This window comes from Homo sapiens, chromosome 14 (assembly GCF_000001405.40).
Source record: "Homo sapiens chromosome 14, GRCh38.p14 Primary Assembly".
Taxonomy (NCBI): domain Eukaryota; kingdom Metazoa; phylum Chordata; class Mammalia; order Primates; family Hominidae; genus Homo; species Homo sapiens.
This window is the reverse complement of record NC_000014.9, coordinates 71689547-71717105: the sequence shown is the minus strand read 5'-3', so window position 1 is coordinate 71717105 and position 27559 is coordinate 71689547. Positions and strand designations below refer to the sequence as shown.

Sequence of the window (27559 nt, the reverse complement as noted above, 5' to 3'; positions counted from 1 at the left end):
CAACAAGGTAAAACCCCGTCTCTACTAAAATACAAGAAATTAGCCGGGCGTGAAGGCATGCACCTGTAGTCCCAGCTACTCGGGAGGCTGAGGCAAGGGAATCACTTGAACCTGGGCGGCAGAGGTTGCAGTGAGCCAAGATCGTGCTACTGCACTCCAGCCTGGCAAGAGAGCCAGACTGTTTCAAAAAGAAGAGAGGTAGTGAGGTCACCGAGGATCTGGGACAGCCTGAATCTGTCCAAACTTCTCATCTTGACCTGATGCTCAAATGAAACCATGGATCACGTGTACAGCAACCTGGTGATTTTACATTCCCAGCTGTGGCGAAGCTTTATAGGAGGGGATGCTAGATGACCAATCTGCAAAAAAGATGCTACTCTCAGCGGGTGCTGCTTTAAGGAGGACCTACATCTATTTGCTGACTTTGCCAAGCGATGAGCCACACAGGATTGGGAAGCCTGAATGTCATCAGTCAAGGCCCAGAGTGCTGAACCTATGAGGCCTGGGGAGACCACTGTGAATTCCTGCATCGTCACTGAGATCATCATATCCTGTGAAAAACATCTGCCAGCCACTGTCTGTGTTGTAGAAAGCTGCTGATGGGAAAACTTGGAGTCATCTACTATTTAGGAATGGCAAGGGGGTTTTAGACAAGCTTGGCCTGCTAAAGATGGTATTTTCAGGAAGCAGAGAGAAGCAATTAGTCACCTGTCAAATGGCTGTGGCAAAATCTGGGCAATGGCTGAATGCTGGTCTAATACCAAGGAGAGGAGAGCTGATCGGGTTTCCTGTGATTGCTTGTACAAATAACAAGCCTTTGGGTGACAGATAATGTGGAGGATAATGATTAAGGAGGACTCCTCCCACTGTGTTCAGCACTAGCCAGTTCTGTACTCTATCCAATAGAGTACCGTACGGAACACAATTTAGAAGACACTAATTCCAAAGGACTGGGGGAAAACAAGTGAAGTAGGGATGATTAAGTTGACAAAGAAGATATCCAAGTGACTGCAGTAAAGAAAAATTGTCCATCTATAAAAGGCAGAAATTTAACAGTATAAGGGCATATTAATACATACAGCATAGGGAAATGAGTGGCCAGCTATATGCAGCAGTAGAAGCCTCAGGGATCACCGTGGACCACAAGCTGAAAAGCCTGTAACGCTAAGCTATTTAATAAGGGGCTAACAAGATATCTATGAACATTATCATTTTATTGGGCATAGCTGAGAAGAGTGTCATGTCCAAGTTTTGCATCTAAAAAGGATAAAGAAAACAAAGCCAGATGCTTGAGAAGAGAAAATATGATTATAGGATGAAACACACAAAGTGTAGTTATAAGAGCTGTGGGAGATACCTGCTTGTTAAAAGAAAAGTCACTAGAAAATTGTTAAGGCAGGTGATGAAGAGCTTACAAAAGGAAATGACAAAAAACCTTTGGTCTTAAAATGACATTTACAGTTTGCAATACATTTGATAATCTTTTTTATTTTCAACAGACATGTAAAAACAGCCATTTAGTAGGTGGAACAGGATTTTGGTTTGGTGGTACTAGGCTATGCTAATGTGTATGACATGGCACATTACCAGCTGCAGGCTTTATCCATTAGCCACTGAGTTTCTGACCTGCTGTCTATTGTGTAGAATCTGAACAAGCTGACTGCTGAAATGCAGTTTGCTGGCCAGTGAACTGAAAGATGCAATAGTAAGCCATCTTCATTTGTCACCATGTGCTTGTATCTGTTTAATTTGTGCACCTTAAAATCCTATGGTGTATTCCATGGCCAATATGCCATCTCCTAGATTACAGATGAGGGACAAGCCAGGTGAAATGGTACAACTGGCCACAGGCCACATAGCTGACCAATGGTAGAACTGAGACTTGAACCAGGGTCTCAGGCTCCAAATCTATTTTCCTTATGTTCCTCTCCCAACTTGCCTGGGGGTAGAGAGCTATACCAAATTTTCCTTCTTTCTTTTTTTGCAAATGACCACGTTATAGTCAATAATCTATATCCAATAACTAGGTTAAGGCAAGCAGGGCCAACACATGTTCTCAGAATCTTAGATGTCAAAAATCTTCATGTTTAGAAAACACTCAGCTCATAAAAAGACATTTATTCTCTCTTAATTGTGTATTTGAGCTGTAGCTAGAGGAATGGAATTAAATATTGAAAAGGGAGAGGACTTATTATATACTGAAATTATTTAGAAAAGTTGTGTGGGCCAGGCTCAGTGGCTCATGCCGGTAATTCCTGCACTATGGGAGGCCAAGGTGAGAGGACTGCCTGAGCACAGGAGTATGAGACCAGCCTGGGCAACATGATGAGACCCTGTCTCTATAAAAATATTAAAAATTAGCTTAGCATAGTGGTGCATGCCTATAGTCCCAGATACTCAGGAGGCTAAGGTGGGAGGATCACTTGAGCCCAGAAGGTTGAGGCTATAGTGAGCTGCAGGGCCACCACTGAACTCTAGCCTGAGTGACAGAATGAGGGACCCTGTCTTTAAAAAAAAAAAGAGAGAAAAGCTGTGAAATCTCTTGAGATTATTTCCCTCCCCACTGCCCCAATAAAACAATTGTATGAATTCTCATCCTGGTAGAATGCTTTACATATGACGAAGAATGGGCTCTCTGCCCTTTCTGAATTCCTTTTGGCCTTATGATTTAATGACACTTGAAGAATTTGGGCTTGCTACATCAACTGAATGAATGGATTAGTTGCTTCATAGAACAAAGCAAAAAAATGTTTTGTTGGTGAGATCTGCATCAAGCATCTGTGGCTTGACAGAGGGCTCATTTTCTCAAGGTTCACTTGAAATTTCTTCCTCAGTGGTTCTATTTTTCAGTCTTTGAGGTTACTAAAAGTAACTGGTTCTGGATAAAATAACCACCCCCAAAAGCTGGAAGAGGTGTGGCAAGATCGCTTAGGCCAAATCACCTGGAGTTCTGCCATGTAACAGCAACATAGAACATAATCGTGAATGTTTATTGTATGCGGTGATGCAAAGCAAAAATTGCCAATTAAAATGATCCATACCCACAACCTAGGCTAAGGCAAATAGAGTCAACCACATCTCTTAAGAGAAGTTCTGGTTTTGTTATTTTAGAGGGTGAATTTTCATATTCTGAGTTAGTCCATAATATTTAGAAAAATAACATTCTCATCTTAAGGAAAAAATATAAAAGAGAGGCAATTAATTGTTAGTAACTAAAAAAAAAAACATTTCCAGGCAGAAAAGATTTAGAGAAGGAAATGTTACAGGTAAAGACAACGGAGTAACTTCTAAACAAAGATGGAAGGCATATTTCTCACATCCATAGGATGCCAATGAGGGTGCAGGGAACAGGGCATACACAGAGGCACACAGACAGCCCAGTGTGCCAGAGTAGCCTGAGGCAGTCCTAATGTTCAATGTAAACCACACATAAGAAGCCTTTCTTTTCCTCAGCTCTCAAGAAACATACAGCTTTTGTGGCATGAACCATCAACCAGAAAAAGCACATTCATGAAATTGAGCTGTGTTGACAACTGTGGGCAGGCATTTTTCTTGGTCTTTAACCAGTTCTTCCAGTGATAATGTCAGACACTGACCAACATATATCTAGATCCTGACTGATATTTGTATATTAGCTGTTCTAAAGTTTTTCCTTGTCATACTTCGTAGAGTTTACAAACTTTTATGTAGACATGACAGTTTACTAAGACTTCATGCTACACAAAGACTCTATGTATGCTCTCATACCTACACCTATAAGCACTGCAGCTCTGTGCAAATACTGATGCATCTGTACAATAACCTTCAAAATAGTTAGTGGTTTTCTAAGAGCCAGGAGTTGAGGATTTATGTAACTTTTGAACTGGTTTGAGTCATCAGGCAAAAAACATAAAGAAAAGTCATTCTTTCATTTTTTTGAGACAGTGTCTCACTATGTTGCCCAGATTGACCTCTAACTCCTGGGTACAAATGATCCTCCTGCCTCAGCCTCCTGAGCAGCTGGGACTATAGGCCCATGTCACCGTGCCCAGCTAGTTATTCCTATTTGCTCATTGGCATGTATTGAGTATCAATCTATTATGCTCATGTTGGCACGGCCTATGCAAATATACTTAGGATGAACATATTGGGTGAAAAATCCTCTTGTACTGACTAGATGGCAGTAAAAAGGTATATGTGATCGCATAAGTGGGTAGTAATTGGCTACAGGTGTCTGAGGGGGCCTTAGGGAAGCAAGAGGAAGGAGACCTGGAGAATAGCTGGCTAACAACCGTGGACACCAAAACAAGTCAGGTCAGTCAGTTACAGAAGAGATATCTATGTGCAAGCATGAGGTAGGGTTTTTAGCTTTCTCATGTGTGTTCTCAAATTAAGCTCCAACACCAGAAACAGCATTGGTCAGCAGGTCTAGAGGATTTTGGACTAACTGAGGAGGTCCTTGATTGCCACACAAACTGGCACTGCCTACTGCCAAGGCCAGAACGCTAAGAAGAAAATGAATGCTGCTTAAATTTAAGAATGTCCTTAAATTACTACTATCTTCACCTCTCCTAGGCTTACCACTAATCTTTTTTTTTTCAGTGGTTCATTTTAAGATCTGAAAGTGAAACAGCCATTACCAAAAAATAAAATAAAATAAATTTTCTCCCTAAATTTCCAAGCTTCATAAAGATACACATATATTCTAGGGAGCAATAATTTAGAGCAATTAATAGACGTTTTTAGTTATAGAAAGTTACCAGTATGTGTGGCTTCTTTTAATGACATTCAAATATAGCAACTCTATGTAATTACCAACCTGTATTAATGTAGCTCTCATGAGGAGCTACAAAAGATCTGCATGATCATCAAGAGGGAGACTAGAGGACAGAGAAGGTAGGAATGGAGCCCAGCCAGAAAGATGCAGTGAAACTTAATCACTGTAATTTAGACTTTGTCACTGAGTCCCAGGTACAAGCTCTTTTAAGCACTGTCAAGATATCTCTACATTAATTGCTGTTCCTGTCTTCTGAGGACACAAACACTCTAATTTGCTGTGATTTTAGTTTTTCTATAGCAATGTGCATTTGGTGGCTAAGTCCCCTTTCCTCCAGAAAAGGCAGGCTGCTAAAGCTCTGATTATCCAACTCACTCTGCCAAGATCAACATACCAAAGTCTCAAAACATCCCTACTTACCAGAGTCTAGAAATGAATGTGACTCAAATGAGTGGGTGAGAAGCTCTGCCACCCTCCCTGAATGGCCACATTCTTCTCTTCTCTAGTAAGTTTGACTTTCAATAGGAGAGTTATTTCTAAAGGATGATTTCAATGATTCTGCATTCTTCCAGTTAGAAGCAGAAAATTTAGATAATCCTTTGAGGCCTTCAGGCAGCTCCAGTCAGCACATTCAGATAATGCAAACCCAGATGCTTTTTTCAGGGAGCTTTGTTGATCCCCTGGGATTTGTTAGATAATGGCACAGCCGCACATTCTGTGCTTTGGTTTCAGGGGCCCAGCTCTTTCCAATCTCACTCCATGGTGATGCCATTTGAGACAAGATCTCTATAACCAACTTTCTTCTGCCATCACATTGGACCAGAGAAATATTTTCAGATGGAAGACATTCTTAAAAAAAGGCATCCTCCTTTCAAAATGACAAATTGAAAACCAAAGAAATAGGAGTCAAACTAAACTTAAAAACCAGAGAGAAACTATTCAGATATGCAAAATGTTCTAAGTCAATGCACAGTCTACTGAGATGGGGATGTGCCAAGAACAGCCAGCGAGTGTCATCATTCTGTCTTGTGTGATTCTGTCTATATGGTTATGGCATCTGATGCCCACTTCCTGTTCTACTTTGGCAAACACATCTCTTATACCATTTGAATCAAACAATCTACTTTCTGAATTGTGGAACGGAATACATAGTACTCAAGAATACTGAGACTACTTTCCCAATTTCCTTTTGCTTGGAAGCCATGGAGTTTCCAGACCTATCACCATCATTTTGAGATCTGCAATGTGGTAGTGGTAAACAGAAACAAAACTAGTGAAAGGCTTCATTCCATGGGGCCTGACATTTTAAATGAAGGGAAGCTCAATGATAAGTAGCGATAGAGACTCCATGAGAAAACAAAATACTTAGCTGGTCAAGTGAAAGCAATCCAAATTAAGTAGAGGATGTCCTCTCTCCTTAAGGTTATCTGGGGTTTACTGACAGATTATGTGCCTAGATTTCCATTTGAAAAATAAAAACTAAATTAAGCCTCTCTATTACTTTTCTTTTTCTTTCTTTCTTTCTTTTTTTTTTTTTTTTTTGAGACAGAATCTCACTCTGTTGCCCAGGCTGGAGTGCAGTTGTGTGATCTTGGCTCACCGCAACCTCTGCCTCCTGGGTTCAAGCGATTCTCCTGCCTCAGCCTCCCAAGTAGCTGGGATTACAGGTGCCTGCCACCATGCCCAGCTAATTTCTGTACTTTTAGTAGAGACGGGGTTTCACCATGTTGGCCAAGCTGGTCTCAAACTCCTGACCTCAAGTGATCTGCCCACCTCGGCCTCCCAAAGTGCTGGGATTACAGGCGTGAGCCACCACGCCCAGCCTCTACTATTTTTCTTGCGGTCATAATCATAGCAGACCCAGAAGACAGCAAGGTTAGATGGTCTCACACATTGATCAATGACTGACAACAATCGAAGATAAAAGGAGAAACCACACAGAGATCAACAGGCCTAAAAAGACAGTGATGGAATGCTTCTTCCCTATGTGGATCTTGTCACATTGGGGATTTTAGGCTCCAATCAAGAGGAAACGACAAATAGTATTTATTTTATCTAGAGGTGTGATCTCCAAGGATACAGGGGAATGTGTACTTTCCTATTCTGAAAGGTATGTCTAATTTTAGCTACACGTTTCTATTGGACATCCCCCACTCTCAACCCATTGCTGCCAGGAGCCAATTACTGAAAAAAAGTTACAATGTAAATATCAGGTAAGTGAGGTTCTCGGCTTGAGAGGCACGTAAAGGACGTGCTTGGCATCGCAAACGATGCTCTGTTACTCAGAAAAGACCTCTGTCTTTTAACAATATGGTCAATATTTTAAAAACATAGTCTTCAAAAGCTTGTCCCAGTATACATTCCCTATTACTCACCGAAAGCCAACATTACAAAATTACAAATTTCCTCTCAAATTGTAGTAGCCAGGAACATTATTTTAAAAATCAAATCCAACTTTAAAAAGAATAAATCTGCAAAATTTTCTCACAGTTTAAAATAATGCACTAAAATTGCAGGATTAAAGTATTTTGAAGGCAAATAAAGGGCATTAAACATATAAAAATAATTGTCACTGCAGAAAAACCTCCTTTCCTTATACACTATTGAGCAAAGTAAAGTGGGCTGAGGCCAGGGAACTGGGCTTAGGTCTGGGCTGGGAATCAGACAGCGGGGAAGGGTGGTTACCTTGTGTGGGAAGCAGCATCGTTTATACTGAAGGTGCTGTTCTCCCTTGTCAGAGGGGTCGAGCCGGCTTGGCTCTTGCTGTGTATGTCTAAGCTCAGGGAAGACTCTGTTTTCCGGTCCAGGCCGTGGCTCTCTGTCTCCAAAGTCCGATCTGCCATGGAGATTACTTCACTGGAGCTGTGCCATAGGGGTGCCACTTTCTCCTTGCCTGGCCCTGAGCGAGGTGACGATGTGGCAGCCCCCAGCGAGGCTGTGCTGCCGTGGCTGGGGCCATAAGAGGTGGTGTCAATGCCACTGTCAGCAGAGGTGCCTTGCAGATAGTTATAGCTGTTGAGTTCGGATTCTGTGCGGTCCCCATCGTACCACTTCTCATCACTATGGGCACTTGACGCATTGCTGGAGAGAGTATTGCTACTGGAGTGGCTCGAGTAGTGGCTATCAGACTGCAAGAGAAGCAGAATTTATTTGAGTGCAAAGTTTTGCTTCCTGAACAAGAGAATAACAGAAATGACACTGTGATTAATTTCTAGTTATAGGGCTCTGAAGGCCTAAAAGTTCCAATAATGACTAGTCACAGTAAGACAGGGAACCTATGTCACTATGGTCCATTCAGAAGTATCCATGGTAAAGGGTACTAGAAACGTGTTTTTTTTTTTTAATCTATTTTTCATTATTTGATTTATGCTAAAGTATCAATACTATTGAGATTATTTTAGTCAGGAAGAAATTTAAATTGTCATTGAAGTTTTAGTATCTTAAAAGAGAAAGGAAATGACATTTCCAAAGGGATTATAATTAGAAAGCATGTTAATTCTAAAAGCCCTATTTGTTCAGAGTAAATAGAAGGCTGAATATAAGACTTATGTCTAGAGAGACCTCCTTCCCCAATTAGCCTCTGTTTAGGAGACAGCCTTCTAAGACATGCTTTGAGGTGAAATTTATACAGAGGTACCAAGGCAATTCAATGGGGAAAAAATTAGGTTTATCATGAAATGATGGTGAGACAACTGAATATTCACATGCAAAAAAGAATAAAGTTGGAACTGGGGCAGTGGCTCACACCTATAGTCCCAGCACTTTGGGAGGCCAAGGCAGGTGGATTGCTTCAGCTCAGGAGTTCAAGCCCAGTCTGGGTAACACAGCAAAACCCCATTTCTACAAAAAATACAAAAATTAGCCAGGCATGGTGGTGCCTGCCTATAGTCCCAGTTATATAGGAGGCTGAGGTGGGAGGATCGCTTGAGCCCAGGAGGTTGAGGCTACAGTGAGCCGAGATTGTGCCACTGCACGGCATTCCAGCCTTGGTGACAGAGTGATACCCTGTCTCAAAAAAAAAAAAAAAGAAAGAAAGAATAAAGTTGGATCCTTACCATATAGAAAAATAAACTCACAAATGATCAAAGATCTAAATGTAAAAGCTAAAACTATAAAGCTCTTACAAGAAAACATATGTGTAAGTCTTCAGGACCTCCAGTTATAAAATGGTTTCTTAGCTATGACAACAAAAGCATATGAAACAAAAGAAAAAAATAAACTGGACTTCATAAAAATTTAAAACTTTTGTGCTTCAAATAACCCAATTAAACAATGGGCAAATGATTTGAATAGACATTTCTCCAAAAAAAAAAAAAAAAACAAAAAAAAAAAAACACCAAAAAACAAATGTCCAACAAGCACATCAAAAGATATTCAATACCATTAGTTATTAGGGAAATACGAATCAAAACCACGAGATGCCACTTTGGCTATAATAAAAAAAAGCCAGATGATAATGAATGTTGGCAATGTTGGGTATATAAAATGGGGTGGTAACTATGGGAAAACAGCTGCAATTCTACGTTGGTATATATATATACCCAAGAGAAATAAAAAGGCATGTTTCATTGTACGTGGATGTTTACAGCCAAATTATTCATAATAGTCAAAAAGTAAAACAAAAAAAAAATCCAAGTGTCCATCAACTAATATATGGATTAAAAAATAGGGTATATCCGTAAAATGGAATATTATTCAGCTATGAAAGGGAATGAAGTACTGATTCATGCTACAACATGGATGAATCTTGGGAACATAATCAGCGAGAGAAGCCAGGCTCAAAAGGCCACATATTGTATAATTTCATTTGTATGAAATGTCCAGAGTAGGCAAATCCAGAGAGAGAAACTGGTGACTGTCTAGGTCTCCCAGGGGATGACAAGCAGTCGGTGGTGGTGACGAAAATGCCCAGGAATCAAGCAGTGCTGGCCGGATAACTCTGTGAAAATGCTGCTACAACTCACTCAATTGTATATTTTAAATGGGTAAATACTATGGTATGTGAATTATATCTCAATTTAAAAAACATATAGAACTCTTTCCATATGCTGGCTTAGATGCTTAGAAAGAACATTTTATAGAGTTTCCCAAATAAGAATTTAAAAGATATCTGAATAAAATAATATTTTAAATTAGAGGGAGGCGGGAAGTCTAGATGATTGCTGGAGATTAAAAGAGAAGAGAAGGAACTGTGTGTGTGTGCGTGTGTGTGTGCGTGCGTGTGTGTGTCTTTTGGTAGAGGAAGGAGCAGGCTCTTCATTGGCTAAGGGGAGGGGCAGGAGTAGGACATGCCAGTTTCTTTTTTTTTTTTTTTTTTGACGGAGTCTTGATCTGTCACCCAGGCTGGCGTGCAGTGGCATGATCTCAGCTCACTGCAACCTCTGCCTCCCGGGTTCAAGCGGTTCTCCTGTCTCACAGCCTCCAGAGTAGCTGGGACTACAGGTGTGTGCCACCACACCTGGCTAATTTCTTGTATTTTTAGTAGAGACGGTTTCATCATATTGGCTAGGCTGGTCTCAAACTCCTGACCTCAAGCGATCCACCTGCCTAGGCATTCCAAAGTGCTAGGATTACAGGTGTGAGCCACCGTACCCAGCCACCAGTTTCACCTCAAAGTGAAACATCTCTTCCCCTTGAAAAAATAATCAATCCCACTTACTTTATTGGTGTTACTCTAGTTTTTCTCAATAACAACTTACTAAGTGCTGTAATAAAGCCTTCATTTATTCTTAATAGGACAGAACTTCTTTAGCTCCAGACCTGTGCTGTGAAATCTGGTGACCCTTAGTCATGTGTGGCTATTGAGTACTTTTAACATGGCTGGTTTGAATTGAGATGTATCAAGAGTGTAAAGTATATAATCCATTTCTACAGAAACATAATGGGAACCATATATGTAATTTTAAATTTTCTAGTAAAAAGTAGAAAAGAAACATGTGAAATTAATTTTAATAATATATTTTATCTAGCCCAATGTGCCCAAAATATTATTTTACCATGTAATCAGTATAAAAATTATTAACGAGGGAGGGGAAATTTATAGATCAATTGGGATAATCTATCATTTACAAGTAGATTTGTGACAATATCACATTGTCACAACTTGCCTCAGTAAATATTTTCCTCATAGAAAGGTTTTCCTCAGAAAACCTTTCTCTTCAGAGAAAAGCGTAGGGCATGCTAACTCTTGCTTGTTTTTTTTAGCTTCAATATTCATTTTTCTATAGCAAAACTTACATGCATCTCTCATTTAAAGTTCTCTGGGCATCTTCCATAGTGAACTAGTAAGCATGAAATACAATATTTCCTCATTCTATAGAATGACGTGAATATAAACATACACATTCCAGTGAACAGACACACCAAGGAAATCAACTGCATGGGGAGGGCGTCCCGTCCCAATAGCGGTATCAGGGAAGAAGAGTGGGGAAAAAAATAAGAGGGGGGTTGGAGAATGATAACCTCATATTCCCAATTTTACTGTAAGTGAGAAGGAATTGTGTATTACTATAGCGAAAGGATGAAATGTGTATGGCTATGAAAGACAAGAGAAGCGGTAGAGGAGGCATAGGGGAAGCTGTCTGTCTCCTACACCTCCTTTACTGCAGCAGAATCAAAGATATGGTTGGAGCATCAGTCCTGCTGGAGCCCTCTCATGGCTGGAGCAGGACTGACGCTCCAACCACATCTCATGCTTGCAATTGTGTAAGCAAATAAAATCAACTTCTAACACATTTCCACTCCTAACATTTCAGGATTGTTAGTGACTGAATCAGATGACCAGACCTGTGGGGGTGGCAGAAGCACAGCAATGAGGAGTTACAATTTATCTCAAAGCAATCTAAAGGCCATGGCAGCAGAAACTGCAAGGCCATGGCAGCAAACGACCACTCTTTGCCAGAATGATTTCCTCTTTGGCCATGCAGAGGAAAGAGCAGAGCATTTTCATAGTGCAAGGAAGGTACACTGCTAGGAATCTAATACTTTTTTAAGTTTACAGTTAACTTACATGCCCTTGTTTGTTTGGAGACAAATGAACCACTGGATCCTGCCGCATTAATCTCCCACTGGGGCTCTCTCGGAAAGCTGGCAGTACCTTTGATACTGCTGGGAGATGGCATGTTGGCTCTGGAATACAGCATAGGACATTATGGTGCAGGCACTAAGCAGAAACAAGCACATGGTGACAAATGAAGATGGCTTGCCATTGCATCTTTCAGTTCACTGACCAGCAAACTCTGCATTTCAGCAGTAAGCTTGTTAAGAGTCTATTTGATAGACAGCAGGTCAGAAACTTAAGTGGCTGATGGATAAAGCTTGCAGCTGGTGACAACTTGTCACGTCATACACATTAGCATAGCCAAGTACCACCAAACCAAAGGCCATGAACAACGCAGCAAAGTTCAGAATCAACTTTTGGTTTGGGGGAAAAATTTAGATTATATGAATTAAATTTATGAAATTCATTCATTGCCAAGTGTGGCTAACCTAGCTTGGTCTACATTACCTAGACAGGCATGGATGCAATCACGTGTTACTTACCATGACACTTTGGAAATATTTTACCTGTATATTCATGCTGCTCGAGGACAAAAGAATTGAAATCCTGAGGTCCTCTATAACTGTAAGCTGAGCACAACAGAAAAGACACACAGCAACTAGTTTACTTAAAACAATTGCTTCCTTTTGGACTCCAAGCTGGCGTTCAAGATGGGGTTCCAAAAGTGAGAGATAAAGAATTTATCCTCCATAACACCACTATAGCTAATAGCAAGAATCCTGGGCCTCTGAAACACCCTTCCTAACATGTAGAGGACAGGGCAAAATACTCCTTGACTCTGACTCTCAACCATTTCCAAAAGCAGAGGCAGAAAAGTGAACAGCCATAAAGATAAGTGAGCCAAGTCAGTAGGCTAAACTCCTGTCTCCACTGTCAGGAGGGTACCTGTTGATAACACACTGATGCCTAACCAATAAGAACCTCGTAAACATTCTCAATCAGTGCAAGTCATTAGAGAATGCTGTTCTTATAAACTGAGTAGAGAATGGTCAGCCCATTATATACTCAATATTGGGTACTGAGTAATAAAAATGCAACAATTATTTTTCTTGACTTCTCCCTGGAATGGCTTATACCAGCTAAGCCTTCTGATTCCTTCTGATGTGCCAGTTAGGAAAGGCTTGGTTATTTTTCTGGAATGCTGGGATATCAAAAATTATTTTAAAAATTATTTTAATATTTTATTTGAAGGGTTGGATTTCCCATGGTGAAAGGCCACCACTTGGACCTCTTGTACTGTAGTGAAAAGGCTTCTTTGGCAGGCTTCAGGGGTATCTTATTTTAAAAAAAGTATACCTTACAAAAAAGATGAGCAAATAGGTTTTAAAAATTCATCTACATTCATTTTTAAGTCTTATCTATTAAGAGTGGGATGCCACTAAAGTAAAGTGGATGCAGGGAAAAAAAGACTAGAGGGAGGTTTGTGTGAGAGAATGAACAGGGGTCTAGGAAGAACCTTGTAATTACCCTTTCCATCCCTTCTCACTCCGTGTGACTTCCCGAGAGTGGGAGGCATGACACTGCATGCCTCACAAAGGGCTTGCTGGCAGCCTTGTTCAAAGCCTGCACTAGGAGCCAAAAAAAGCCGCTAAAGTCATGCTGAAGAAGGGATCCTTTTCACATGTGTCGTTACCATCTCAACAGTATCAAAACATATGGGATTTAAAACATTCTGTCAAGAGTAGAAAAGCAGATCAGAATATGCTCAGGTTTTCTGTGTAGGGGTGGGTAGGATAAGAGTGGAGAATGACAGATGGCTTCAATAACAAGGCACATCTCACTGAAGCTACTGGAACAAAGCATATCTTCAGAACCTAGGAACTCCATTTCTCTTCCTCAACCCCTGTCTTAGTGGAACACATCTCCACTCCTTTCTATGTCCATGGTTAGTACACTTACTTGGGCAAAGTCATTAAAACAGGACAAAACAATGAATTTGCAGAGAAGATTAACAGATGGGTCTTGTCTTATAAGATTATCTTTTTCAGCCCTGAAATGTACACCTTTTTATCCTACACTGATGCAACTAGAGATTAAACAAAGGAGGAAAAAATCCAACAGTCTAACAATCTAGATTCAAGTTAATGATGCACCAACTGTGTTGGTACCAAATCCCTGAGGCTCCTGTGTTGAAAATCTTGTTTCATGGCAAAATGTTATTGTATCAACTAGTGTTATGGTGTCACTGTGAAACAACATATATATAGAAAGAAAGGGCTATGCAGTAGAAATCCGGGCACAAGCTCACCAATGCAAATCTCTTCCACCCAGCTGTTTCATACTGCTAAGACATTTCCTTAGCTGACAGCTTAATAGCAGAGTGAGAAGAATTTTTTTTAAAAGCACATCAGGGAGGAAAGAGATTCTAAGCAAGCTACGGATGTGACTAAACAATAATTGTATCTCTTTTCCACTTTGTTAGTAGTTTTGTTTTTCAAATTGACATTAAGTATACCAAGCAATCTCTCAAGGCACTTATTCTAGGCAAAAACAAATAAACAAGGGGGAGGAAGGTACTTAGTCTGGTAGTCTGGTGTTTTAATCTAGGTGCTCAAAATAATTCCTATCGCCTTTCCAGTTTTGAATTTGGGGTCACTTAGAATTCCTTTTCTCTTAGGTCTTATTTATTGTTTTCACTTATACATAATCTAACAGAGACTTAATTCTAATTCATATTTATTAACTAGGGCTACCTTTTATAACAATGTTTTGATAACATCATCAAGAGGTGACCTAAGTCACCTTGTAAAAGCAACTTTCTTCTTGTAGAAATTGATTACTTACCCATCTGGTCAGCAATGCTATCCTCACTTCTTTGCCAGCTAGGCGTGGATTTTCCGCTGCCACCAATATCTGACTGGGTGTTCTGCCTGTCAATGGAGGCTGGGGATCTACGGCTCACTCCAAACCTGTGGTGATTTCCGCAAAGGCAAAGACAACATCAGGGACCTTACCCATGAGGGGAAGGCAGTCCTGGGTGTAATGAACTAAATTTTAATGACAGGCACTACTGGTTTTTGCTTATGTGTCTGTACTTGTATACACACCCTGGTTCGTGTTTACGTGGGTGTGGAAATGTGTATGTTGTGGTCAATATACACCACTCTGCTCAAAAAGGTATGCATGCTATGTAAACAAACTTGTAACAATGAGGGCGGAAGCCATTAGGACTGAGCTAACCTAAGGTATGTAGTATAAGAAACCAAAATTTTCTAAGCCCTCGTACAGCCAAGTTCAGACTTACTCACAGCCAAAAGAAAAAGTTCACAAACTAAATATTAATATTCCATATATATCTTCCAAATGGTATACTGTGGAGGTTTGTTTCTCTTAACTTGGTAGTTTACTAAATCATTAAGTCAGTGGTTCTTGGAACAAGTATTTTCTGAGTACTTGCTTTGTGGTCTGAAATACAAAGATTACTATCATTTAGATCATGTAGAAACCACGTTCAAACTGTATAAATTTTAAACTGCCTTTGGGAAGGGCAATTTGGAAGCAGGTAAACTGGCAAAAAATAAAGGCAAATGTTTATTTCTGGAAAGAACATTTAGCTATTTAGTGAGCCAGTTTTATTTTTCCCTTTGTAAAATAATAATACATGCTTAATTAAAGCATATGCCTTGACTAGCAATATCAACAAAGTAAATACTGACTGAGCCCATGAAAAAGTGCCAGAGTGTAGAATTTAAACATTCATATGGAAATTTACTAATATATATGTGGTTACTAATGAACTTTATGCATAATCCATATAATAAAAGACCAAATAGGGGCCAGGAGCAGTGGCTCACGCCTGTAATCCCAGCATTTTGGGAGGCAGATACAGGAGGATCACTTGAAGACAAGAGTCAAGACCTGCCTGGGCAACAGAGACCCCAGGCTCCACAAAAAAAAAAAAAAAAATTAGCCTGGTGTGGTGGCCACTACAGTCCCAGCTACTCAGGAGGCTGAGGTGGGAGGATGGCTTGAGATGGGCCTGGATGAACTGATGCTTGTGGGGTGTCTTCTTGCTATAGGCTGATACATGTATGGGTAAAACCAGGAAGTGGTGCACAGAAAGGCAGGAGATAAACAATAGGAAGACCTGGGGCCAAGTTCCAACCCCCATCCAATATGACTGAACAAAGTCACTGAATTTTTGCCTCAATTTATGTGTAAAACGGCAATTCCATTATAAGAAGCCAAGGAGAAAAATCTACATAAAGCATCTGCAAAGTAGAAGGGGCTAGAAAAACACTTATCTTAATAAAACTTTTTTTTTTTTTTTTTTTTTTTTTTTTTTTTTTTTTTTTGAGACGGAGTCTTGCTCTGTCCCCTAGGCTGGAGTGCAGTGGCGCAATCTCGGGCTCACTGCAAGCTCCGCCTCCCGGGTTCACACCATTCTCCTGCCTCAGACTCCTGAGTAGCTGGGACTGCGGGCACCCGCCACCACACCCAGCTAATTTTTTGTATTTTTAGTAGAGAAGAGGTTTCACCATGTTAGCCAGGATGATCTTGATCTCCTGACCTCGTGATCCGCCCGCCTCGGCCTCCCAAAGTGCTGGGATTACAGGCGACAGCCACCGTACCAGCCAATAAAACTCTTATTATATCATCCCCCCAGTTACTGTTTCACAAATGCTTTTCATTTACATACCCCATCACAAGGCTCACTAAGCAAAGCTATCTCACATACTGATGTAGCACTTATCAAAAATAAAAACCTTGATTTATGAAAACTTCTAATTGGTTAAAGTGGTCATTTAAAAAAAGGACTCACAATTACACTTTTTGCCATCTCCTCCCTAAGGGTCCTTGTTTCATTCATAAGAGTAAATATACCTATTTATGATCCTATTCTAAATTTGTATTAAGACTTTTTTAAAAGGCATGGAGATGCCAGTTAGAAATGGATTCTAATCATGCTTTTACTTTTTTATTTTTTAAGAGACAGGCTATGTTGTCCGGCTGGACTCAAATTCCCAGCCTCCACGGATCTTCTCCTGCCTTAGCCTATCAAGTATATGGGACCACAGTGCCCACTTGCTTTTATTTTTTGGTAGCAGTGTAAACTTTTAAACCTCTGAACCTTTTAAACCTCTGAACTTAAAGCTGGACATTTTTCTGGCCCTCTGGTTTTAAATAAACAATAAGGTAAAACTATCCTTAAACTCTGCTTTGGAAAACATTTTCATCTGATGAACTTTTAATTTCATTTCTCATGTATGCCCCCTATCCCCAATTTATTGTATGCCAGAGTATAAGGGATACCCAGTCCTGAAGAGCTAAGATAAAACTTGTTCTAAATTTTACTTGGTGCTGTTTTTGAAGAACTTAATTGTTCTTTGTTCAGAGAAGCATTTAGTAGTTTAAGAGTCACAGTTAGATTTGAAGGAGTTTTAAGTAATCATTTGGCTGACATATGAAACACATTCAGTGATCAAGGACTCTGCCTCATGAGGCCATCCAGTTCTTTCCAGGGCAGGCTGACAGCTTTGAAATATCTTCCTCAAAATGGGCTGGACCCTTCTTCTCTATAACTTTCATTTATTGGCCTCACTTGTCCTCACAGACAAATTTGATCCCTAATCTAAGAGTCCTGGAAGAAAGCTACTGTGGCCTCCTTACCTCCATAATTCTCATCCTCAGCTTGCACATCCTCAGTTCTTTCTCCCACATGGTCTCCAAACTCCTCATTTACCGGGGCCCTCTCTTTGGACCTGCCCTGCCTGGTCAGAATTCCTCAAAGTGTGTGGTCCAAAAATAAATCTCCAAGGAGGGTAGAACACGCCCTATGTCTTTTAAACAGTTTTGCTTCTTAACTGCCTCTCATTCCCATCCTAAAACTTGTACAGGTGTTTTTTCTACTTTGGAGTAAATAAGAAGTGACAAAATCTGAACTGTGAAACTAAACAATATATACAATGGACAAACTAATGCAATTTGATTTCTTTGCCATTTAGTTCCTCGTAGAGGCTAGAGGATGATAAACTTCCTAAGAAGTAGTTTAAACCAGCCATGAAGCCATTTTTCTATCTGGATTATTAACTACGTTTTCTCTTTTGTTTGTCTACAAATTGATCAAGGCTGGCTGAATGGAAGTCATTTTACATGTCTGAGTACAGATGAAAGAAATGATGCCAACAGGGACCATGTACAATGGGACAAACGCATAACTACCCTTCGGGCATGGACTTCTGCCTGTAAGTGCCCCCCACAGAACCAGTATCACTGGATGAAGACAAGTTGCTAGGAGAGTTCCGACACTGGGATCTTGCTAAAGCCATGGATGAGACCGTCACATAGATGTCCGAACCAGGAGACAGCCTGCATGTGCAATACAAAAACATGAAGTCAACAATTCAAAGGGAAAATCCCAAGGCAACGCATGATGGATAATATCATATAAATGTGACAAAAACAGTGACTTCATGGAGATAGTGAAAATGAAGCCAGCTGGAAGCCTACAAAAGAAACTTCCCCATAAAATGACTCCCTAGGGGAACAGCTGGAAAACTGCCTTGGAGGGGGTGGGGGTGGGTGTCACAAAATAATGGGGAAAAAAGATCTAGAAAACATGTATGCTTCCAAAAGCTGCCAGAATTCAATTGGCTAAATTACTTATGCAGTTTCCTAGTATGGCAGAGCAGAAGATAATTGAACCCAAGTGACATTAACATAGCAATTAATTCCAATTTCTTACACTAGTCCTCCCAGAGTATATGACCATAGTAACACTGGTACATTTTTTGTATGCTTCTTTGTTTTCCAATTTTATTATTCACACTCTGGAATGAATATTCAGATTTTGCTATTTAGTATTTATAATTCTGGTTGGTAGTAGTATCACTATATAAAAACCTCCATGAAAAAATGTCTAAAACTGCAGTTGTTGAATTTAACTAGAATTACTGAATGTATATAATATCACAGTAGAAGTGTGCTCCACATGGGCACCTCATGTATCTGTTTTTAAAGTTATGGGTCCTTCACACTGCCAACTGGCTGTCAAGGCAGAAACCATAGCTTTGTGGTCAGGACAGACATGTTTTTTACCCTCTACCTCCTCTACTCTAGTAGGCAACACGGCAACCACAGGGATATGAGTAAGTGACGCTGTGCTGACAGTTGTGACTAGGTTTAAGCTAACCCTTAGTAACGATGGTATTTTATTTCAGAAGCAAATGCTGGCACAAATCACTCGACTACTTGTAGCAGGGGAGGTCATTTCCATTTTATAACTTAGGAAGTGAAATCTAAGTCATTGTTCAAGTTCACAACAAGTCAGGTCTCTAGACTCTAAGCCCACTGCACTCCATGCTAAACTACTGCTGTCCCCTAAGAGAAGGCCTGTTTTCTGTGGTTTTTTTTTTGTTTTTTTAATAAGACAGTTTATAATGGGTTTGCATGCTCAAACAACTTTGCACATAAAGCTATCTTAAGACAAGTCAAAGTTTTGACGTCTTGAGACAGAAGCTGCTTCACTGGCAGAGGCCCTGTCCCACAGTGAACCTATTTATCTTCTGAGTAGGGCAGGATGGGGCTTCAGGTATAGGAAGCTGAGAAGCTTTGCTAATAGAGAAAGAATAAGGATAGATACTAAAAGGTACAACTCCCAAATTAATCCATGCCCAAGAGGCAGATCTGACTTGAGAGCCCAGGTTTGTCTCCGGCTCTCTCCTAAACATCTTGACTGGACACCTTTCACCAGCAATCCAAATCAGACCTTTTCAAGACTAACACATTTTATCCCACTCTCCAATAACGCAAACTGCCCTTCCTATATTTGTTATCTCAAGATAAACATCATTTTTTTTTTGGTACCACATAATGGCTTTATTCACAGGACAACTTGTGACTGCAAGTCATGTGTCTAGTCAAGCTAAACATGGTGAAGCCATTTTTTTCCTTCCTCTGTCTTTACTTTCCACAGTCAATTGGGTTAATTAAGTTCAACTACTATTTACTGAGCACAAACTGTGTGTCAGGCACCTGGTGCTGGTCCTGATAACACAAAGACAAAGAAGATATCTAGTTTCCAACCTGCTGAGGGGCTTCTGATTTCTCTCACCTGCAGCCTGGGTCAGTCCAAGTGTCCCGACAGGTCTCTCAACTTCCAGGCTCTCTCCACCCCATTCCTCCAGCAGCCCCAACCCACCCTCTTCCATCAAGTCAACAGACTGCTAAAAGCCTATTCAAAGCTTCCCTTTGCCTACAGGATAGAGGACCAAATCCCTGAGACCCTCTTTAAGGCCTTGAACCATCTGACCAAACCCCATCCTCATCTCCATCCCCATTAATGGCTCCACACACCCTACATTCTAGAGAAAGTCAAGGTGTCCCAGTTCTCAGACTCTGCCCATTCACACTATTATTCATCTTTTTCTCTCTGCCTGGAATGCCTTCTTCCTTTGCTACTCACATAAAAAGGCCTGATGCCAACATCATAGCTTTGAATTCATAGATTAGAATCTCCTCAAATCCCATGACAATCTGTTCTTTGCACCATTACACCAAGTCATACAGAATGGTTATTTTATGTGTGTCTCCCTTAATGTGAATTAAGATTCTGTCTTTAAGGGGCCAGGACTGAGCCTTATTTATCTTTACATTTCTGAGTGCTTAACATGTGTTTTGAATGAAGGAGAATCCCTATCAGTGGTGTAGAAAATGAAGAAGAGAAGGGGGATTCAGGACAAGTACCATAGTTATGTCAGATGCCCCAAATCAGGAGTTCTCAACTATGGTGGGGCTAGATCACTTGAACAACAGTTGGTCACTAATAATGAAGTGCCAAAATTTGTGAATAATTTAATAAAAGCAACTGTAACAGACTGAAAGTTAATATGCCTTCTAAAATGCAAGAAAAAGGGATGGAGTTACAGGTGATAGAATTACACCTAAGCCCAGACACCCATGTGAGTATCATCCATCTTACATATGATGGTGAGAGAACTTAGGACAATGCCTGTTCTAACTAGTGTGAAATGGGGTAAACAGGGAGACTTGGGATGTCAGTGTTCGGGAAATGTGGTGAGAAGAAAGAAGCAGGGTTTCTAAAGTCTTCCTGTTATCATCATCAATCTTGCTGTTGCTATACAGACTGTGAGAAATATGGGCCAATCACCCACTGGCACTGTAATTAGGTTGCCAGATCTCAAAGTAGTGTATGCGTGGGGCAGGTATGGCGGGGCCACGTACTAGTGGGATACTAGCTCATTTCTACTTCAGGTAATGTGTTTTAATAAGAGAAGATCAAGACATTTATCTGGGTACCATAACATGGGTTTCTCTTTACTCTTTTCCACTGAGACATATTGCAAATTTCTCATTATTATTCTAAAGTAATTAATTGTAAGGTGATCTGAAAGGGGTATGAATAGGAGGAATTGGTTATGAAAATGAAAACCAAGTAAGGCTTAAGGAATGACGTGAATCCAAATATAACAAAATACCACATTCCTTTCAACCTGAAGTGTTTGGCTCTTATACACACCTAATAGAGAGAAACTTCAAATAGAGTTTCACTTCATAGCTGCTTTGACTTTCTTACTGCAAAGGGGAGGAGGTGTTACAGAAAACTAGAAAAAAAGGAGACAGCAGTGGAATGTTAACCCAGTGAAGATTAATGCAACGTGTAGGGGTCTGATGATTTTTTGACTTAGGGGTAAACAAGCAATGCCAGTGAAGTATATTTACGGTGAACGTTAAAATGTTTATGCTTCTATGAGGAAGTTACAACATAATTCCAAAGGAAAAGTCAAGATGTAACCTTTACATTTGTATTTAGAGGCTGCTTTTCTTACCCTGCTCTCCAAACGTATATTAAGCTAAGATATCGCAGGCTAGTTCTCAACCTCAGCTTTCTTATTTGGCAAATGTATCAGAAAATTCTATTTGGTTACTGGAGTTATCCCAAAGCGAAAAAATAGCATTTCCAGAAGGCTGGCATTCATTCCCATCCCTCTTTTGCATTTATATAACTCAATAGTGGCTTTGTTTTCTGACTGTTCACACACATAGAACACACATAGAGCAACTGATGGAATGCCACCCAAATGTTTTTATGACTCTAGATGTATGTATGGTAGGCAAAGAAAAATTCAGAATTAGCCCTTATTCTGATGACTTACTATTTTTTCCAAATACTCTGAATTTGATACTATCACACAAATATTATTTGAGAACAGACCTAGTGGGAGAGTGGAAGCCACCGCCGCCTGTCTGGGTACTGGCAGTCCACTTCTGAAGAGATAGCCTGAGGCTGATCGTTATTGGAAGATGGGCTGATTGCTATCCTGCCACTTTGAAGAGGTGCTTCAAGAACTGGGAGCAGTACCTCTCACATTGGCTCACATAGGAAAACCAGCACACTGATCTCCTGGATCTCTGTCCATCCCACCCCACCTTACAAGCGTACTCTGTTTTAAGAGCTGCTGAGTCCAGTGAAGTTACAGCAAGATCACAAGAGACTTTTCTTCTCTTTTGAGATAAATCCAGATCTTTCTGCTTAAAGAGCCCCAAACGTCTGATGTTAATGCCCCAACAGATTTAGAGGACAAAGATTAATACCTCTTTCAATTGCTGTGAGATCTTTCCATTCTGTTGAATACAGGCAATATTCTTTTTAAAGAATGCTCTGGTCACTGTCAGAGAGGAATTCTGTAAATCTTTTAGCATTAATTTCAGAAGATTTTCTTCTCTATATTTTTATAAATTTAGTCAAGAAATAACTAAACATTTTTAAAATAACTGATACTAAACATCCTCTGGGGCTTCCTTCTGCTGAAATAAAACACCAGGGCTTTTTTTTTTATTGTACTAAGAATGCGCAATTGAAAAAGTCATGATCATCACCATCCAGAGACATTACTTCCACAGTCTTTTGACTACACTTAACACTAAACACCAGCTTTTCATTTATATGCAATGCACTTCACTGCAGTGAAAACAGAGAGTTGAAGGGGTTGGACATTTAGGAAGAGATGGTCCAAGATACGTCCTTCATTCTTCCAGAAGCAGTCGCACACCAGGCTAAAAAAGAGAGCTGACACACACACATACACACACGCACACACACACGGATTTCTAACACAACCACCCCTGTCCTCCACCACACCTATTCCATGAATCAACTCACAGGACGACATATATAGTGCCAACATTAATAGATTCTTATTAAACTGATCACTCCAGATTATGACTGATTACAACTTATCAACTTATGGCTATGGAATTCTAAGTGACAAGTTGATGGTAAAATATTTTCCTAACTGATTAGGTAAGATTAATTAAATCTCTATTCTATTTCTTACTTTTTATTCCAACATGAGATATGTACAAGGACATAAGGCCCTCAGTAACCCAAGTGCAAACAGTGAGCTGGTGGTATAAACAAGTGAGAGCACTTCAAACAGCAGCAGTGATGGACAAATTAAATGCTTGAGTCCATAATTAAGCACAGCATTTTACCACAACTTAGCAATTGCTATCCAACCAGGGAACAGGACCAAGTTAAAGTCTTCTGTCTTCAGCCATGTATATCAACTAGGATTCTTCCAAAATTATGTAAAAAAAAAAAAAAAGAAAAGAAAAAAGAAAAATCTCTACAACAATTCAAGGTGATGTAATTTGGGTGCTATAACCGGAGTAGTTTGAACAAGTTGTGTTCAACTTCAAGCAACTCGTGCCTGTCTTTTCATCACTTCCTGTTGTGTACTTTGTGAACAGAGTTACTGCTGGCTTTCTAACCACATAATTCATACCAGCTGTTCAGACTAGATCATGGGAATCCTGTTCTTTTTTTTTTGAGACGGAGTCTTGCTCTGTCTCCCAGGCTGGAGTGCAGTGGTGTGATCTCGGCTCACTGCGATCTCCTCCTCCCAGGTTCAAGTGATTCTTCTGCCTCACCCTCCCGTGTAGCTGGGATTACAGGCACCCGCCACCACACCCAGCTAATTATTGTGTTTTTAGTAGACAGGCTTTCGCCATGTTGGCCAAGCTGGTCTCCTGACCTCAGGTGATCCACTTGCCTCGACCTCCCCAAGGGCAGGGATTACCAGTGTGAGCCACAGCAGTTGGCCCCAAAATCCAAAACTTTTTGAGCGCCAATATAACATTCAAATGAAATGCTCATTGGAGCATTCTGGATTTCAAATTTGGGATGCTCAACCAATAGGATCAATGCAAATATGCGCAAAATTAAAAAAAAATTGAAATTTGAAACATTTCTGGTTCAAGCATTTTGGGTAAGGGATGCTGAACCTGTATTACCCTAATTAATCTTCACAGACTCTAAGAGGTGGGGCTGTGACCTACTTGAGTCATGGGGATGTTAAAGTGCAGAAGGACAGGACCTTGCCCACTGCCACACACTCCCAGTAGCGTAGGCAGGATGCAAATCATGGCCCCTGGACAGCACAGCCTACCCTCCTGGTGCTTCTAGGAATTTCCAGGCAGGTCACACTAATACACAGGTGGCCCTGCAGAGAGGAAGCCGTTATGGAAACATTTCCCTAGGGTGAGTGCAGAATAGCTACTTTCGAGGCCCAAGGAATGATGAGTAAGTAACTGAAGAGCTGGAGCTGGACACAGTACTGGAGCATTCTCCTCCCATTCCTGGGCCACTCTGGAGTTTGTAAACGATGGGGAACTGGGAGGTGTGCCAAGCTGAAGCCATTGTGCCCATTTCCTGAATGCCTGAATAGGAACCACTGTTGCAGTATCATCTAAAAATGTGAACTTGCAAATCACATCAACTCTAATCCTGACATGGATGCCAGAGTACGCTGTTTCCTGCAAGGAGTGGAAAACAGGAGCCTTCAGAGTCCGGTCACTTTAAGTCAAATGCGGCCCTCTGCTTTTCTCCCTTGTCTTGGCTGACAAATACACCACCAGAATTCAGTTCCAACTAAAACCTTTTGAAGGAGTCAATCAAGATCTTGCATTTCACTTTGAGTCAATTTTAGAAAAGCTCTACCAGCAATATACTTTTAAAATGAAGTATTCTAAACTTAGTCAACAAAAACCAAATAATTCTACTTATATCTATGTTTAATGCTATAGCTTTATCAGACTATCAAGTGCTTTGCCTTTACCTATCATCTAATTTTTATAAAAGGAAATTGGTTTATTTTCTCCAAGATAGATTAAATTCTGTCCCCAGTTACTTAAATAAGCCCTTTTGTTATTAAAGGGTCATTACCACAAATGGAAAGTAGAGGAAACTCTTCGTGTGGAAAGCTGGACTACCATGTGAAGTGTAGACACACTAAGTTGAGGAAACTCTTCTTAAAAAAAGCATTGGGAGCCTATTAAATGCCAGAGTCTGTGGCTGGTATTTGGAATACAAAGATGAATAAGACAGGCTAAGTTTAAAGAAATGGACAAATAACATTAAAGCGAAGTTTCATAAATTTTGTGAGTGAAGAAGCCATGTGGTGGTAAGAACATTCCTAGTGAGGCAATTAAGGTAGAAATGGGAGGAGAGTGTTTTGGGGAAATTAAAGGCGACTTGTCAGAGGAGCAGGCATGGCAAGACTTCAGCAGTCAAAAGAAGGAGTGGAAGGTGCACCAAGTAGAGGAGCTCCTAAAAAGGCATCAAGGGGAACATAGTGCTTGCAGAGGAGAGAGCCACTCCCATGCCTAGGGATGGGGGTGGTGACGATGATAGGGGAAAAGGGAAAGGCAAGTCCACATAGACAAACTTTTTGGGAGGGACAGGGTCTCACTCTGTTACCCCGGCTGAAGTGCAGTGGCGTGATCACGGCTCACTGCAGCCTCAAATGCCCAGGCTCAGGTGATCCTCCCACTCAGCCTCCCAAGTAGCTGAGACTACAGGCATGTGCCACCACACCTGGCTAATTTTTTTTTATTTTTTGTAGATACGGGGTCTCACTATGTTGCCCAGGCTGGTCTTGAACTCCTAGACTCAAGCCATGCACCAGCCTTGGCCTCCCAAAGTGGTGGGATTATAGGCATAAACCACAGCACCCAGCCAACACAGGCAAACTTGCTGGTGAGTTGGACTTGATCCTGAAGGCTGTGTGGAACTATGGAAGGGCTATAATGAAAAGGCACAGCCTGAGGAGTATATCCATTTTTATTAGGTCATCCTTCCAGTGGGAGGCTGGTAATCATACCTAGAGGCTGTTGGCAACAGTTTAGGTAAGCAAAAGAAACTTAGTGCGAAATGAGAACTTCTCAGGCAATGGCAGGAACATGTGTGGAGATGGGATGATAGTGCTGAGGGGAAGTTGATAACGAATCCTACTTCTGCTCTGGATACTCAGGTAGATGGCAAAGCCATCCACCAAGGTGGGTAACACACGAGACGGAAGAGGCAGAAGGAGGGGCAGGTGTGAAGGTCAAGTCAGCTTGAACTTGTGAATGTGAGACACTTTCATGCCTTTCAAGTGCATATGTTCAGTAGGTAGTCAGGAATATGAAAAGTGAAAAAGAGACCAAGGCAAAACAGATCAGCTAAGGAACTGCCCACATACAGATGACAGTTGAGGTTGCTCAAGTGGATGAACCTTCTAGAAGAATTGCACAGTGTGGGATTCAAATAAAAATGAGGAAGAAGTGGGGAACACAAATTTCAGGGTGATGAGATAGGCGCAAAGAGCTGACGATACAAAAAAAATCAGGAATACCTTTTGGAAGACAAGGAAATGTAATTTGAAGAAGGAGGGAGTAGTGAATGGTATCAAATAAGCTAAGGACCTAACACCATCCAGAAGCTTTAGAAATGTAGAAGTTAGCTGGGTGCAGTGGCTCTCACCTGTGATCCCAGCACTTTGGGAGGCTGAGGAGGGAGGATCACTTGAGGCTAAGAGTTTACAACTAGTCTGGGCAACAGAGTGAGACACTGTCTCTATAAAAAAAATCATTTCAAAACATAAGCTGGGTGTGGTGTGGCGTGCACCTGCAGTACTAGTTACTCAGCAGATTGAGGTGGGAGGATGGCTTGAACCCAGGAGTTTGAGTTTACAGTGAGCTAAGATCAATGCCACTGCGACAGAGTGAGACCCTGTCACAAAAAAAAAATAATTAAAGAAATGAAAAGAAATATGGAAGTCAATGGGCAATGGGGACCTAGCTGGAGCATTCCCAGTGAAGTTCAAAAGTCCCATGATTTCAGGATCCTCATGGCAAGGCACGAAGCTGTGATGGAGGGGGCCAGTATTTGGAAAGCACAAGTCTGAGGCTTCTAACCACAGCTAATATTCTAAACAAAAGAAGAGTAAACATTAAATGGTGCTTGTTTTGTTTGAAAGCAGAAAATGACACAGTGGAAGATTAGCTTAGATCCTGTATGATATAACAAACTTAAAAAGTATTTCCTTAAAAATCAAGACTGAATGGTCACGTGACTATTATGCTCTCTGAGAGGAGAACTCTTTTAAGTTTGTTTCCACCATATTCACACCCTATATGGTGCTGGTGTCTGTAAGGAAGGAGGGAGGGAGGCTGCAGACGCAGCTGCCATAACTGCGTGAACAAAAAAGGCCCCCCATCCAGCTTCTTAAGAGTTAAGTGCAGGGGTCTCAAGGGGAGTAACAATGACATCCAGGTAAAACTCAGAAGTACCAAGTGTTCAGTGAGCTCTAACATCAAATATTTACATAAAGGCTGGTAATACCAGCCTAAAAAAAGGAGAAAAGAAAATCATTTTACATGCTAAGATGTCTGTTGTTTATCCAAAGCCCCTCAAATAGCTCAACTTTTATAAGCATATTAACACAGATCAGGGTTTTATT

The 27559-nt window shown here is 40.7% G+C and overlaps 1 protein-coding gene across 58 annotated transcripts in view; it reads right to left on the bottom strand.

Moving 5' to 3' along the window:
• SIPA1L1 (signal induced proliferation associated 1 like 1) overlaps positions 1–27559 on the bottom strand; it is a 420734-nt gene that overhangs the window by 24104 nt on the left and 369071 nt on the right. For 39 of the 58 annotated variants that reach the window (XM_047431217.1, XM_047431229.1, XM_047431218.1 and 36 more), the window contains 5 exons: positions 17979–18125; positions 14601–14725; positions 12323–12385; positions 11766–11884; positions 7442–7884 (listed from right to left, as the gene is read on the bottom strand). In XM_047431217.1, coding sequence (XP_047287173.1) covers positions 7442–7884; positions 11766–11884; positions 12323–12385; positions 14601–14725; positions 17979–18125 — 897 coding nt within the window. The remainder of the gene's footprint in view (positions 1–7441; positions 7885–11765; positions 11885–12322; positions 12386–14600; positions 14726–17978; positions 18126–27559) is intronic. The other 19 variants (NM_001354288.2, XM_047431251.1, NM_001284245.3 and 16 more) reach the window with 3 other exon arrangements.